Source organism: Homo sapiens, chromosome 15 (genome assembly GCF_000001405.40).
Source record: "Homo sapiens chromosome 15, GRCh38.p14 Primary Assembly".
Taxonomy (NCBI): Eukaryota; Metazoa; Chordata; class Mammalia; order Primates; family Hominidae; genus Homo; species Homo sapiens.
In genome coordinates, this window is record NC_000015.10 from 42,498,499 (window position 1) to 42,514,398 (window position 15,900).

At 42.0% G+C, this 15,900-nt stretch overlaps 1 protein-coding gene across 8 annotated transcripts in view; it reads left to right on the forward strand.

Annotated features, from left to right (window-relative positions):
* SNAP23 (synaptosome associated protein 23) overlaps positions 1 to 15,900 on the forward strand; it is a 41,930-nt gene that overhangs the window by 7,370 nt on the left and 18,660 nt on the right. For all 8 annotated transcript variants that reach the window (XM_047433203.1, XM_017022694.2, XM_047433202.1 and 5 more), the window contains 3 exons: positions 13,335 to 13,405; positions 14,457 to 14,498; positions 14,901 to 14,949. In XM_047433203.1, coding sequence (XP_047289159.1) covers positions 13,349 to 13,405; positions 14,457 to 14,498; positions 14,901 to 14,949 — 148 coding nt within the window. In that variant the 5' untranslated portion in view covers positions 13,335 to 13,348. The remainder of the gene's footprint in view (positions 1 to 13,334; positions 13,406 to 14,456; positions 14,499 to 14,900; positions 14,950 to 15,900) is intronic.

A 15,900-nucleotide genomic window follows, 5' to 3' on the forward strand; every position in this document is an offset into this window, starting at 1 on the left:
GGGACTCAGGGCCCCAAGTTCTGAGGCTGCCCACGAAACCATTTTTTCTTCCTAGGCCTCAGGTCTTGTGATGGGAGGGGCTGCCATGAAGATCTCTGATATGCCCTGGAGACATTTTTCCCATTGTTTTGGTGATTAACATTCAGCTCCTTGTTACTTAACGCAAATTTCTACAGCTGGCTTAAATTTCTTCTCTTTGCTTTATAAATTACTTGGTGGTCTCAGCTCAGTGATCCAGTGATCTGAGTGATCTCAGGAAAAGAAAGAAATATTAGCAAATAAGAGAAACACCTTACATTGCCATACTCCTTTGACAGGTCATGTGAAAGTAATTTAAGTGATCATATCACTTAGCCTGCAGCTTGAATATTTGTCTCAGGCTAGGTTTTACTTTAGGTGCTTGTAGTATGTGTTTATGCACTAGAAAGTTAGTGTTATCATAGTTCCAGCATAAGGATGTCTTACTGTGCCAAATAAACAGTGGAATTCCTATATGTATCTTGATATTTGTTTCTTGTACACTGAATGAACTTAGGTACAATACACACAAGCCCACTTAACTAAAGGTCACATCTTTTTTTTTTTTTTTGACAGAGTTTCACTCTTGTTGCCCAGGCTGGAGTACAATATCTTGATCTAGGGTCACCTCAATCTCCACCTCCCGGGTTCAAGCGATTCTCCTGCCTCAGCCTCCCGAGTAGCTGGGATTACAGGCAGGCGCCACCATACCTGGCTAATTTTATATTTTTAGTAGAGACGGACGGGGTTTCTCCATGTTAGTGAGGCTGGTCTCGAGCTCCCGACCTCAGGTGATCCGCTCGCCTCAGCCTCCCAAAGTGTTGGGATTACAGGCGTGAGCCACCGCGCCCGGTCTAAGGTCACATCTTTTCTAATCATTTAGAACACAACCTAGAACCAGAAAGAAAGTAAACAAAAACAGGCCTGTACTCATGGGACAGCTGTGGAGTCTTCACCTATGAGTCATACCACCATCATAATTTTTGCCATTTAGAGTACTGTTGTTATTTTACTTCATGTTTAATGGGTTTTTTAAAAAAACATTGCCCACTTCCAAAGTGATAATCTGTGAAATCATGGTTTTTATGTATTTTATAGCTTTTTTAGCATCCATTATAATAAATACATAACTATTAAATATATAACTCTTTCATATGTAACAGTTAAAATCATATTCTTGCTCAGCACTTTGGAAGATACTGCTTTGGGCCTAATCAGCTCATTTTTAAAATGAAGATTGAACTAAAGCTTATGGGCTTGAAAATTCTGTGATCTCTATGATGATGTTCATTATCATAACACAATTCTAGCAAAGTTTACTGGTTCCACCAGATGAAAGTAGATTAGGGCCGGGCGGTGGTTCATGCCTGTAATTCCAGCACTTTGAGAGTCTGAGGCAGGAGGATCGCTTGAGCCCAGGAGTTTGAGACCAGCCTGGGCAACATGCCAAGACTGTCTCTACAAAAATTTTTTAAAAAACTAGCTGGACCTGGTGCCCAGTGCCTGTGGTCCCAGCTACTCAGAAGGCTGAGGTGGAGGATCGCTTGAGCCTGGGAGGTCAAGGCTCCTGTAGATTAAAATAACAAAAAGGAAAAAGAGGATGTTTGCTCTTTGATATCAGCTGCCTTTTTTTTTCCCTGAATTCAGGCTTTCCCCCGCCCCCGCCCCAATTTGGTTCCTTTATCTGCAACACTCTGGACATCTGTTTTTGAGCTATGTTTGTACTCCACATTGTGTATATATTAGCATGTATAATATTATAATGTTGCTTATCTCCAAGAGTGCTGAACTTTTTATTCCATTACTATATTTTGTTTCCAGATCTGTAGGTTGACAGACGGGCAGATGACAAGGACTGCTCTTTTCTTTTCCCTTTTTTTTTTTTTTTTGAGACAGAGTATTACTCTTGTTGCCCAAGCTGGAGTGCAATGGTGTGATCTCGGCTCACCGCAACCTCTGCCTCCTGGGTTCAAGTGATTCTCCTGCCTCAGCCTCCTGAGTAGCTGGGATTACAGGCATGCGCCACCACGCCTGGCTAATTTTTTGTGTTTTTAGGAGAAACGAGGTTTCACCATGTTAGCCAGGCTGGTCTCAAACTCCTGACCTCAGATGATCTGCCTGCGTTGACCTCCCAAAGTGCTGGGATTACAGGCATGAGCCACCTCACCCGGCCAGGACTGCTCTTTTTCTTTGCTGTGATAGGTAGAAACTTGAAACAGAAGGATCCAGTGCCTCTAACAATTAGAGGAAGTGGATTATGGAGCCAGGAAACAAAATGTACTGTGTTTTTTTAAATAGTAAGAGTAGAAGAAGCCCATTTGTATTCATTTAGATTCACTGACATTTTGGTTTGGGTTTCAATTTAGGTTGTATTGCTACTAAAGTATTTAAATCACTGATTCCTATGTTTTTCCAGAATTCTCTCTTCTTGTTGCTTTCTGTAAGTTCTGTAACTTAGATGTAAAGTTTGTTTAAATTTATTTTGACAGTGTTTTGGAAATTGAAATTACTTTCGATGGCCTTTCAATACTTATAAAACTCAAGCCAGGTGTGGTGGTGTGTCTGTAGTCCCAGCTACCTGGGAGGCTGAAGTAGGAGCATCAGTTGAGGTCAGGAGTTCAAGACCAACCTAGGCAGCATAGCAAAATAAATTTCAAACTTCTTGGTATAGTATACAAAGCTCTTCACAATATGTGTTCTGTCTTGAAAGCCATCCCCTGCCCTCCATACATACACACACACATTATATTCCTGCCTCACCACTGAAGCCTTACATTGTGGCTTTTTCTTCCTTTTTGATAATTTAATTTAAAATCATAATTTTTTGGACTTGATCATACTTGGATTTTGACCCACACAAATGAGAATCAGGGTGTTTGTGTTTTTTTGTTTGTTTGTTTTTTAAGACAGTCTTGCTGTGTCACCAAGGCTGGGGTGCAATGGCATGATCATAGCTCGCTGCAGCCTCAAACTGCTGAGCTCAAGTGATCCCCCTGCTTCAGCCTCCTGAGTAGCTGGGACTACAGGTGCACGCCACCAGGCCTGGCTGATTTTTTTTTTGTTGTTTAATTTTGTGTAGAGATGGGGGACTTGCTTTACTACCCAGGCTGGTCTCAAACTCCTGGCTTTAAGCAATCCTTTTGCTTTGGCCTCCTAATGTGCTGAGATTGTAAGCATGAGCCATCATGCCTGGCCAAAATCACGAGAGATATTTCATAATTATTATGAAAAGTTATAATAGTTTTATTGAGCACTGTGTGCCAGGCACTGCTCTAAATACTGTGCTTGAATTAGCTCAATCCATGTAACAACACTTAAAGTAAGCATTATTCTCATTTAATGAGGAAACTGAAGCACAGAAAAGTTAACAGTAATCAGGATTTGAAACCATTATGCCTTCAGATATTGGGCACATAACTACTATACTATGTTGTCTTTTGTATAAGCAAGAATGCCACTCTTTTCTGTTGGGGGTATCCTTTCCAGGGACGTGAGTGCTTATATTCTCTCTTTTTTTTTTTTTTTTTTTGAGACGGAGTCTCGCTCTGTCGCCTAGGCTGGAGTGCAGTGGCGCGATCTTGGCTGACTGCAAGCTCTGCCTCCCAGGTTCACGCCATTCTCCTGCCTCAGCCTCCTGAGTAGCTGGGACTACAGGCGCCCACTACCACGCCCGGCTAATTTTCTGTTTTTTAGTAGAGACGGTTTCACCTTGTTAGCCAGGATGGTCTCGATCTCCTGACCTCGTGATCCGCCTGCCTCAGCCTCCCAAAGTGCTGGGATTACAGGCATGAGCCACTGCGCCCGGCAGAGTGCTTATATTCGCTGTCTGTAGCTTCTGACTCTTAATATCGGAATATTTGAAAAACTAACCAGAAAGCATCAAAGTGGCTGGGTGTGGTGTCTCACGCCTTCTGGCATTTTGGGAGTCCAAGACAGAAGGATTGCTTGAGGCCAGGAGTTCAAGACCAGCCTGGGCAACATAGTGAGCCACCCTATATCTACCTAAATAAATAAATAAATAAATAAAGCATCTAAGTGAACTTAATCAGAGCTAAACTATGTGGATGGTTTCGGTGAATATTTCATTCAGGCAGGGTGAATCCTTGCCAATTAATCTCACCCCGTACTTGGTATCTCCCTGGCAGATACCACACTTATGCCTGCCACATTGTCTCTTCCTGGGTAGATTGCCAGCTTCTGGCTCTTGAGCCCCGTTCTTATCTTTCACATAGAACGTCCCCTTTCTGTTCACATAACCATTCTCATTGATAGGGTTAATAAAATTGATTACAATCAAACCTACATCTACCTCCCCAGTATTACTCCTGGGTCACTTAGAGTAGAATTGTGGAAGTTCCTAATTTGACAGGGACTTGAAGACCAGGCGTTGGACATCAAGCAATTAAGTTACCATAGGTGCTTCTGTAAAACTGAAGTTTAATTTTTTTTGTAATTAGAGTCAGGGTCTTGCTATGTTGCCCAGGTTACATTTAAACTCCTGGGCTCAGGTGATCCTCCTGCCTCAGCTTCCTGAGTAGCTGGGACTATAGGCCTGAAAATGTAATTTTGGTTTTCTTTTTGGTTCCTGATTTTTAGTGGGACTTTCCCATTTGTTAATATGATTTCTGTCTTGAATCTTGTGCTTCAGTGTACTTTGAAACCAAGCTGATTTTTGTTTGTTTTGTTTTTTCGTGTTGTTTTTTAAGATGGAGTCTCGCTCTGTCGCTGAGGCTGGAGTGCAGCGGTGCGATCTCGGCTAACTGCAACCTCCGCCTCCCGGGTTCAAGTGATTCTCCTGCCTTAGCCTCCTGAGTAGCTGGGATTACAGGTGCCCGCCACCACGCCTGGCTAATTTTTTTTTTTTTTTTTTTGAGATGGTGTCTCACTCCGTTGCCCAGGCTGGAGTACAGTGGCACAATCTCGACTCACTGCAACCTCTGCCTCCTGGGTTCAAGTGATTTTCCTGCCTCAGCCTCCCAAGTAGCTAGGATTACAGGCACATGCCACCACGCCCAGCTAATTTTTGTATTTTTAGTAGAGACGGGGTTTTGCCGTGTTGGCCAGGCTGGTCTCGAACCCATGACCTCAAGTGATCTGCCCTCCTCAGCCTCCCAAAGTGCTAGGATTACAGGCGTGAGCCACCATACCCGGCCTTTGGTATTTTTTAGTAGAGACGGGGTTTTTCCATGTTGGCCAGTCTGGTCTCAAACTCCTGACCTCAGGTGATCCACCCACCTTGGCCTCCCAAAGTGCTGGGATTACAAATGTGAGCCACTGCGCCTGGCCTGAAACCAAGCTGTTTAGTAGATACGATTCTGTGATGTACTTAGTATATTTGCATTTGAGTTATAGACTTTGTATGGTAAAAAGAAAAGAGTTTTTAAAAAGAGAAAAAAATATGTATGTATATTTGCATAGTTTTGGGGCCTATATATAAAAATGGTTAAAGTTGTTTGTGTAGAAGGAGATAGAAAGGAAAGCCCAGAGAGGAAGTAAAAGGAGGAAGCCATCCTTAACATAAAGGAGACCCTTGCCAGGCAAAGTGGCTCATACATGTAATCCCAGCACTTTGGGAGGCTGAGCCAGGAGCATCACTTGAGGCCAGGAGTTTGAGACCAGCCTGGGCAACATAGTGAGACCCTGCCTCTACAAAAAAAAAAATAATAATATAATAAAAGGGCCAGGTGTAGTGGTGGGCACCTGTAATCCCAGCTACTCGGGAGACTGGGGAAGGAGAATCACTTGAACCCTGGGGCAGAGGTTGCAGTGACCTAAGATTGCACCACTGCACTCCAGCCTGGGCAACAGAGCGAGACTCCGTCTCAAATAAAATAAAGTAAAATAAAATAAAATAAAAAGTGAGACTCTGTCTCAAAAAAAAAGTTGTATATAGCCTATACTTTATATCATCAACTTTAATATTCAAATTTAGCCTTGCAGATGGAACTATTAATATTTAGTAGCTATTACTTTCAGCTACATTTACATAAATGTGACTCATATTCAACATTGTTACTTTCCTTTTGTTTTGCCTACTATTTATTTCCACTTCAGTAAAAATATTAATATAATGGCTAACATTGAACACCGGCCATGTGCAAGGCATTGTACTAAGTACTTTGTGTAGATCATCTCTTTTTAATCTTCACAAAAAAAACAAAACTATAAAATAGAATGTTATCCTTGTTTTACAAATACAGAAACCGAGTTTTAGTGGTGTTAGGTAATTAACTTGGGGTCACACAACAAATACATTGTGAGGCTGGAATTTATATGCTGGAATTCCCACTCACCCACTATGCTATCCTGCTATAAACAGAAGTTTCCTCTTGCTGCGGATGCATTGGTTACCATGGACGTAGACTTCTATCAAGCCAAAGAGAATGCTGAACTTAAAAGTACAGTAATAAACCCTTTGAGTGTAACTCATTGAGGAGCTTTATTGTGATTAATTTTCAGAGAAGGAATAAGGCAGGAAACTAATTTGGTAGAATATTTTAGCTGCAAAATCCTTGTTTACCAGTATAAAAAGAATTATCTTATAAAATCATTCTTTGCAAGACCCTGTGAAATTGATGGTGATTTTTTTTTTCTTTTTTTTTCAGACAGTCTTGCTCTGTTGCCCAGGCTGGAGTGCAGTGAGTCTTGGCTCACTGCAGCCTCTGCCTCCCAGGCTCAAGCCACAGACGTGCACTACTGCACTCGGCTAATTTTTGTGTTTTCTTTTTAGTAGAGCTGGGGTTTCACCGTATTGGGCAGTCTGGTCTTGAACTACTGGCCTCAAGTGATCCGCCCACCTCTGCCTCCCACAGTGCTGGGATTACAGGCATGAGCCACCACGCCTGGCCTGATGGTGATTTAAAGTGCTCTTTCTTCATTACTTCTTGAGTAGCTCACCAGTTTTACAAATGAAGCCACATGGATCTTCCAAGGCCTTATTTAAATTCCAGGGCCTTTTTTCTGTGTATTTCTTTCCAAGAAGCTCATTTACTTTTCCTTTCTTCTTTTCTTCTCTTTTCTTTTACTTCCTTTCTGCTTGCATTTTTTTTTTTTTTTTTTGAGACGGAGTCTTGCTGTTGCCCAGGCTGAAGTACAGTGGCATGATCTCGGCTCACTGCGACCTTTGCCTCTCGGGTTCAATCAACTCTCCTGTCTCAGCCTCCTGAGTAGCTGGGATTATAGGTGTGCATCACCACGCCTGGCTAATTTTTGTATTTTTAGTAGAGACGGGGTTTCACCATGTTGGCCAGGCTGGTCTTGAACTCCTGACCTTAGGTGATCTGCCCACCTTGGCCTTCCAGAGTGCTGGGATTACAGGCGTGAGCCACCGCACCTGGCCTCTTGCTTGCTTGTTTTCTTATCTCCTCCCTTCCTCCCTCCCTCCCTTCCATTTCTTTTCCTTCTTTCTTTTCTTTTCTTTTTTTTTCTTTCTTTTTTATTTTTTTTGAGACAGAGTCTTGCTCTTGTCACTCAGGCTGGAGTGTAGTGGCATGATCTCGACTAACTGCAACCACTCCCTCCCGGGTTCAAACGATTCTCCTGCCTCAGCCTCCCGAGTAGCTGGGACTACAGGCGCCCACCACCACACCTGGCTAATTTTTGTATTTTTAGTAGAGATGGGGTTTCACCATTTTGGCAATGGCTGGTCTTGAACTCCTGAGCTTGTGATCCGCCAACCTCGGCCTCCCAAAGTGCTGGGATTATAGGCGTGAGCCACTGTGACCGGCCCATTTCTTTTCTTTCTTTGGGGTCTTGCTCTGTCAGGCAGGCTGGAGTGTAGTGGGGATCATGGCTCACTGCAGCCCTGAACTCCCAGGCTCAAGTGAACCTCCTAACTCAGTCTCCCAAGTAGCTGGGACTACAGGCACTGGTCACCACACCTGGCTATTTTTGTTGTTACTTTTTGTGGAGACAGAGTCTTGTTGTGTTGCCTAGGCTGGTCTCAAACTAGCCTCAAGCCGTTTTCCTACCTCAGCCCTCAAAAGTGCCAGAGTTACAGGCATGAGCCGCTGTGCCTAGCCAATAGACTTCTTTTCATTTTCTAAATTAATGTAGATTATTTTCAGCTTCTGAAATAATAGAAGACAGTTGAAAACCATGATTACTGTGGTCTATTTCTCCTTCAATTTAACTGTCTTCTTTGAGTCTGTAGAAGAGATAAAATTTCATGGTCTTATAGAAAGCATCTGAAATTTTGAAATGAGCCATCATATAGGATTGCTTGACCTATTTTCCAATATTCAGCAGCTCTCATATGATCTATTGTTTGTTAAGGGGGCGGTGGATACAGTCAACAGAAAAAACTTTTTTTTTTTTTTTGGAAACAGGGTCTTGGTCTGTTGCCCAGGCTAGAGCACAGTGATGCCATCTCGGCTCACTGTACCCTCTGCCTCCCAGGTTCAAGTGATTCTTGTGCCTCAGCCTCCTGAGTAGCTGGGACTACAGGCATGCGCCCCATGCCCAGCTAATTTTTTGATTATTTGTAGAGAACGGGTCTCACTATGTTGCCCAGGCTGGTCTTGAATTCCTGGCCTCAAGCAGTCCTCCTGCCTTGGCCTCCTAAAGTACTGGGATTACAGACGTGTGCCACCACTCCCAGCTCCAGAAAGACTCTTTATCAGACCATGAATTATACTTAATTTGCGAGTAGATCCCGACTTGAATAATCAATCTGCTCTTTACTGACACAGCCGCCTTGGGTAAGTTACCTAAACTGAGCCTTAGTTTCTCCATCTGTAAAATAGTATAATGAAGATAATGATGTAGATAAATACTTAGTAGGGTATCTGGTGCCTAAGAGGTACTCAGTGAACTTTTCTTTCCCTGCCTAGGTTTAAATTAGAAAAGAAAAAGGTCAAATTAGGAGTCTTTTAGTAAGCCCAAGTGAACCATAGCATGAGAAATAGGGTGTAAAAGCACTGAGAAAAATCTTGCATTTTCCTCTGAAAGGCACACTATTAGCATAGTATAAGTTCCCAGCAGCACTGGAAAAATGACACAAGTATTTAATAGATTAGATTAAATCTGAGAAAAGTACGTTTAATGGCATCTTTGTATCAACTGATGTTTTATTTTTCATCCCACCCCACCAGTTCTCTTTTCTGTAATATTCTGGGTAACCTTTTCCTGATTCCGTAAGGAAAATGTCTGCAGAGAATAATAAATATGAGTAAGGCTATGTAGCTAATTATAGGTTACATTCTCTCTGACTCGTCTCAGCAAACTTACAAAGACCAATAAGAACTTGAGGAGTATTATTCCTTGTCTGTCTTTGTCCTTCCCCTTACAATTCTACTTTGACTCTGTTACTTTCATATACAGTTGACCCTTGAACAACATGGGCTTGAACTGCGTGGGTCCACTTATAGGTAAATTTTTTTTTCAGTAAATACAATCAGCCCTCCGTATCAGCAGGTTCCACATCTATAACCAAATGCAGATAGAAAATATGGTATTCAGCCAGGTACGGTAGCTCATCCCTGTAATTCCAGAACTTTGGGAGGCTGAGGTGGGAGGATTGCTTGACCCCAAAAGTTTCAGAAGTTTGAGACCAGCCTGGATAACATAGTGAGACCCTGTCTCTATAAAACAGCTTAAAAATTAGCCGGGCATGATGCATGCACCTGTAGTCCCAGCTATTCAGGGGGCTAAATGGGAGGATTGCTTGAGCCTGGGAGGGCAAGGCTGTAGTGAACCTGATTGCACCACCGCTCTCCAACCTGGATGACAGAGTGAAGCCTTGCCTCAAAAAAAAAAAAAAAGAAAGAAAGAAAGAAAAGAAAATACGGTATTCATACATGCAAAACTCCCGTCTACAGAGGGCGGACTTTTATATCTGCAGGTTCCTCAGGGCCAATTGGTATCCACAGGCAGTACTGAATCCAACCCTCTGAGCGACAGCCACACTAAACTTGTGCTCAAAACCCTCAAGAACACAGAGTAATCTTAGGCAGCTGCATCCTGGCGTTAGCATGCCAAACTTGGGAGTAGATATCTGTTACTTGTCTTGCGTGTTGTCTGGTCAGGGAAGAAAAAAATATTAAGCAGAACTTCGAGTTCACATGGAAAGGATGTGTCCTTCAGAATGACCTCATTGCGATGTCAGGGGTGATTCCTCACGTTATCCATCTCCCAGTTATATCTGCTTTCTTTTTTCTTTTAAAGAAGGCAGCACAGAGGTCAGGAGTGCATTCACTCCTAACTCTGGAGTTTTGCTTTTTTTTTCCTAGGAAGCTAGCAAAGACTGACTTGTAATTGGCAATAATCACCTCTAGGAATAGAATTACAAAATTACATAATTTGTGATATTTGGGCTTCCTTACCCCAGAATGTCTCCCGACCCACAGGATACTATATCTGAAAACCTCACTAAGGGTGCCTTTTCCAGGCACTAATGGATTAGTGTATATTATTTTTCATATTTTCTTCTCTGTCGGGCATTGAGGAGTTACACATGACAGGAATAGATAACTTCAGAGCATTACTGCCTGGGGAGGGCAGGCTTTGGAGAGGTATCTCGGTTGGGGCTTTAGGAAGTGATGGAAAAGCATGAGGCTACCTGGGCAGATGTGGGGTATTATAGAAAGGAAAGGTGTGCAAAAGTGTGGAGGTGAGAGGGTACAAAAAATAATCTCCATTTACTTTTTGTAGTTGCAAATAGGAAAGAGTGACAAAAGAGGAACAGTAGCATGGACATGTGTATGTATGATAAAGCTTAAGACTCAAACAATTAGCAAATTAATAAAATACCTGGTTCCTTTTATGCTTGTATCTAATGAATGATATCTTTATATCTTGATTATATCTTAGTGTGGAAACTTTTTGCCTGAAGCACAGTCTATGGCAAGCAAGATAGAAACTTAAATTTGGAACTTAAAATGCTTTTTTTCATGAGCACTAATGGCTTTAATCAAGGCTCAAAATCTTTTTTTTTTTTTTTTTGAGATGGAGTCTCGCTCTGTCACCCAGGCTGGAGTGCAGTGGCACAGTCTTGGCTCACTGCAACCTCTGCCTCCCAGGTTCAAGCAATTCTCCTGCCTCAGCCTCCCGAGTAGCTGGGATTACAGGCGCTCACCACCACTCCCGGCTAATTTTTGTATTTTTAGTAGAAACGGGGTTTCACCATGTCGATCAAGCTGGCCTCGATCTCCTAACCCCGTGATCCATCCGCCTCGGCCTCCCAAAGTATTGGGATTACAGGCGTGAGCCACTGCGCCTGGCCCTCAAAATCTTAAACCATAAAACAGCTATGACAGTAGAATTATAAACAAGGCCAGGCACGGTGGCTCAGGCCTGCAATCTGGGCACTTTGGGAGGCTGAGGTGGATAGATCACCTGAGGTCTGGAGTTCGAGATCAGCCTGGCCAACATGGTGAAACCCCATCTCTACTAAAAATACAGAAATTAGTGGGGCGTGGTGGTGCATGCCTGTAATCCCAGCTCCTTGGGAGGCTGAGGCAGGAGAATTGCTTGAACCCAGGAGGCAGAAGGTGCAGTGAGTCAGGGTTACACCACTGCACTCCAGCCTGGGCAACAGAGTGAGACTCCATCTCAAAAAAATAAAAAAAATAACATGATAGTAGTGGTTCAATTAAAAACAACTGAAAAGATTTAAATTTTTTTGTTTGTTTGTTTTTTGAGATAGGGTCTTGCTCTGTCACCCAGGCTGGAGTGCAGTGCCATGATCTTGACTTACTTCAGCCTCAACCTCCTGGACTCAAGCAATCCGCCCACCCCAACCTCCCCGGTAGCTGGGACTACAGGTGTGCGCCACCATGCCTGGCTAATTTTTGTATATTTGGTAGAGATGGGGTTTTGCCATGTTGCCCAGGCTGAACTCCAACTCCTGAGCTCAAGCCATCCACTCACCTCAGCCTCCCAAAGTGCTAGGATTCCAGTCATGAGCTACCACACCCAGCCAAAAATGACTGAAAAGATTTATATGTGATCATATCATACACTTGCAATAGCAGTTTTTGGTTTGTGGCTCTAGTGATTCTTTGCGAGCTTTGTGCTACTGTTACATGCAGCTTTGTTTCTAAGAGCCATGTAAATACTTTGAGAGTACACCCTGTTTTTCTACTTATTTGTTCATTCAGCTATTTTTGGAGTATCTACCATCAGATCCTATTAGGTGTTAGAGATACAAAGATAAAATCTCTGCCTTCCAAGAATTCAGTCCAGTACATTCTTGGGGAATTAAGTTTTCTGCTTATCAAAGAGTATATCCATGGCAAGGTTTCTCACCTCAAATTGACATTTTGGGTCAGATTATTCTTTGCTGGAGGGCTTTCCTGAAGAGTGTTGTAGGATGTTAAGCAGTTTCCCTGCCTCTACCTACTAGATGCCATTAACCAGCCCCATCACCTGGCCCAAGTTGTGACAATCAAGCAACTCCAGACATTGCCAGATTCCTGGGGTCAAATCTGTAATAAGAACCAGAGTTTATCTGTGTCATTGACCGTGAGTTTTGATAAATGAGTTTTGAGAAAATTCATACAAAGCTAGCAAATGTAACAAAGAACCTAGATCCGTTGCACAATGCTTGTTATTACTCCACATGACTTCTCAAAGAGGAATTAGATAACAGCCGTGCTGAGTAACACCTACGAAATGTTTTATTTTTTAGCTTGGATGTCTATGAGATCTCCTTCTGAGTTACTGTGTATAGGAGAATAATTGTTTGGTTTCTTAGGGACTCCAGTAAAACAACAAAACAATATAAGCCACTGGAGGGGAAGAGTCTAATGCATAATAAAAACCTTAGTCTTTTCCGAGCTGTTTGTACCAGCATTTCCCTTTTCTTGTTAAGAGTGAAAGTATTTTCTCCAGTGAGTGTCCTGGACAACTGGCATATTTAGAAATGTTTCCTGTGTTCTTCAGGCACATAACTTCAAATTTTGTTACTTTACTAAATTGGACTTTTCTTCACCTACTGCTTTTCCATGTTCAGACAACACATGAAGAACATTGAACAACCAAAAATTCACTTTAATAGTCTTTTAATGCTTGTCTTCCAGTAATGCCTTGCTTCTCTAAGTAGAGGATCCACTTTCCTGTTGGAAAGAGTACTTCCCTAGAAGTCCTAAAACCTGTATTTTAGGTTCACCCTTGGCACTCTTATTAAACATTCATTTAGCCTCTCTCGGTCTTGATTTCTTTACTTGTGGTAGACTAATAGATATAGAAAGAGGTTCTTTTATCCTGTTTTCCTGATAAGTTCCTAAATTCCATAAATCTACACTTTTTGCTCACACAAACTTTTATATATCCTTATTCTTATACAATATCCACATTTCCATTTCTGTGCCTAATAGAGTTTTGATTCATCATGGATAATCTGTCATCAGAAGAAATTCAACAGAGAGCTCACCAGATTACTGATGAGGTAAATGTTTTACCTAAAATAAGTAAATAATTCTATTTCAGTTTTCATATTGGAGGAGTGAGAGAGCCTTCTTAGGGACATTTTGGCCTCTTCCTAGTCCATTAATATCAAAGAACACATTTGCTCCTTAGTGCCATTGCTGGTTTTTATTTTCTTTTTAACTCACCAGAAAACTAAAGTGAAAACAATTTGTATGATTTTTATTTTTTAGGTAATTATTAATATTACTTAAGTGTAACAAAGATACTCTACTATGTATTTGAGAAATGCTAGACTTCTATTTAACAATTTCCTAATATCTGTAATTTACTTAGATTTCTACCTACATTAAATTTTTATTCCCATGAACTTCACCATCCAAATATTCTCTTTTTTAAAAAAACTTTTTCTTTCAACATCACACTGGAAGTCCTTACACATTTTCTCTTAAGGAGCGCCTGAAAATAACTAAAAATGTAGTGATCAACTTACTTTTTTTTTTTTTTTTTTTTTTGAGACGGAGTCTCACTCTATTGCCCAGGCTGGAGTATAGTGATGCGATCTCGGCTTATTGCAACCTCTGCCTCCTGTGTTCAAGCGATTCTCCTGCCTCAGCCTCCTGAGTAGCTGGGATTATAGGTGTGTGCCACCACGCCCAGCTAATTTTTGTATTTTTAGTAGAGATGGGGTTTCACCTTGTTGGGCAGGCTGGTCTCAAACTTCTGACCTCGTGATCCGCCCACCTCAGCCTCCCAAAGTGCTGGGATTATAGGCTTGAACCACCACACCCGGCCATTGTTTTGTTTTAAAGGGAAGGATAGGCTGGCAATTCTTTTTGTTTTTTCCTTTAATGGAAACAGTCTCACTATGTTGTCTGGGCTGGTCTTGAGCTCCGGTACTCAAGAAATCCTCCTGCCTCGGCCTCCCAAAGTGCTGGGATTATAGGCATGAGCCACTGTGCCCGGCCTGAGCTGGCAATTTTTAAAGATAGAATAGCATCATGAATTTGGCCTGTGATCAGATTTTTTTTTCTACATATTTTGGAATGCTAAAATTCTGTGTTCTTTCCTAGTCTCTGGAAAGTACGAGGAGAATCCTGGGTTTAGCCATTGAGGTAAGAAAATGTTAGTCATCAACTTAAGTATAGAAATTTATAGGAGCGATCCTAATACTTCTGGCTGGAATTAGTATTAAAGGGTAATGTATCAATATGCTTTATTATTTGAAATTAACAGTTGCTGAAATGTCAAACCATGCACTAATGGGAATTTTCTGTTTTTCCCTTTAACAGTATTGGAATATGACAGGGAAGATGAATTCACTATGAGTTTGTGACTTAATTATTTTGGGGGCTGCTATGTTAAAGTGTGTTAGTTTAAGAATACTAGTTCTGTCTGTAGCTCTAATCCTCTGAGAGCTTGGGTTTCTAAATTATTCTGTGTTGCTCTTGTAGGTTTTGTTTCTGTTGTTTTTGGTTTGTTTTGTTGTACTATCAGCTTTTCCCCCCTTGTCTTAGTCTCAGGATGCAGGAATCAAGACCATCACTATGCTGGATGAACAAAAGGGTAAGTTAAATTATTAGCAGAAATTCTTAATTTGACTGTGATGCCAAAAAGCCCTATCAAATTAGCCACATACAAATTTCAGCCTTTGGGAGAGCCTTCCCTTTGTAAAATAAGAATGTTATGTTTACTTCTTGTCTTCTGATTTGAATTATATATCATGTTCACTGTCTATTTGGGATGGCAGGCAACAATGCCCAATTGTATATACCAAGTATGTGTTAGGCCAGCATGGCTTATTTTGTGTATTGGTTATATGTGCCTTAGACATTATGATAGTAACATAGCTGGGATTACAGGCACCTGCCACCACACCCAACTATGTTTTTCTTTTTTTTTGGGGTGGGGGACGGAGTTTCGCTATTTTTGTCTAGTTTTGGGGGTGGGGGATGAAGTTTCGCTCTTCTTGCCCAGGCTGGAGTGCAATGGCGTGATCTTGGCTCACTGCAACCTCCTCCTCCTGGGTTCAAGTGATTCTCCTGCCTCAGCTTCCTGAGTAGCTGAGATTACTGGTGCCCACCACCACACCCGGCTAAGTTTTTGTATTTTTAGTAGAGACGGGGTTTTACCATGTTGGCCAGGCTGGTCTCGAACTCCTAACCTCAGGTGATCCACCCGCCTTGACCTCCCAAAGTGCTGGGATTACAGGTGTGAGCCACCGTGCCGGGCCTTTTGTTTTGTTTTGTTTTGTTTTTTTAATTTTTATTTTTTGAGTCGGAGTCTTACTCTGTCACCCAGGCTCGAGTGCAGTGGTGCAATCGTGGCTTACTCCAGGATCCTCTACCTCCCACGTTCAAGTGATTCTCCTGGCTCAGCCTCCTGAGTTGCTGGGATTACAGGTGTCCACCACCACACCCAGCTAATTTTTTGTGTTTTTAGTAGAGATAGGGTTTCACCATGTTGGCCAGGTTGATGTCGAACTCTTGACTTCAAGAGTCACTTGATCCGCCCACG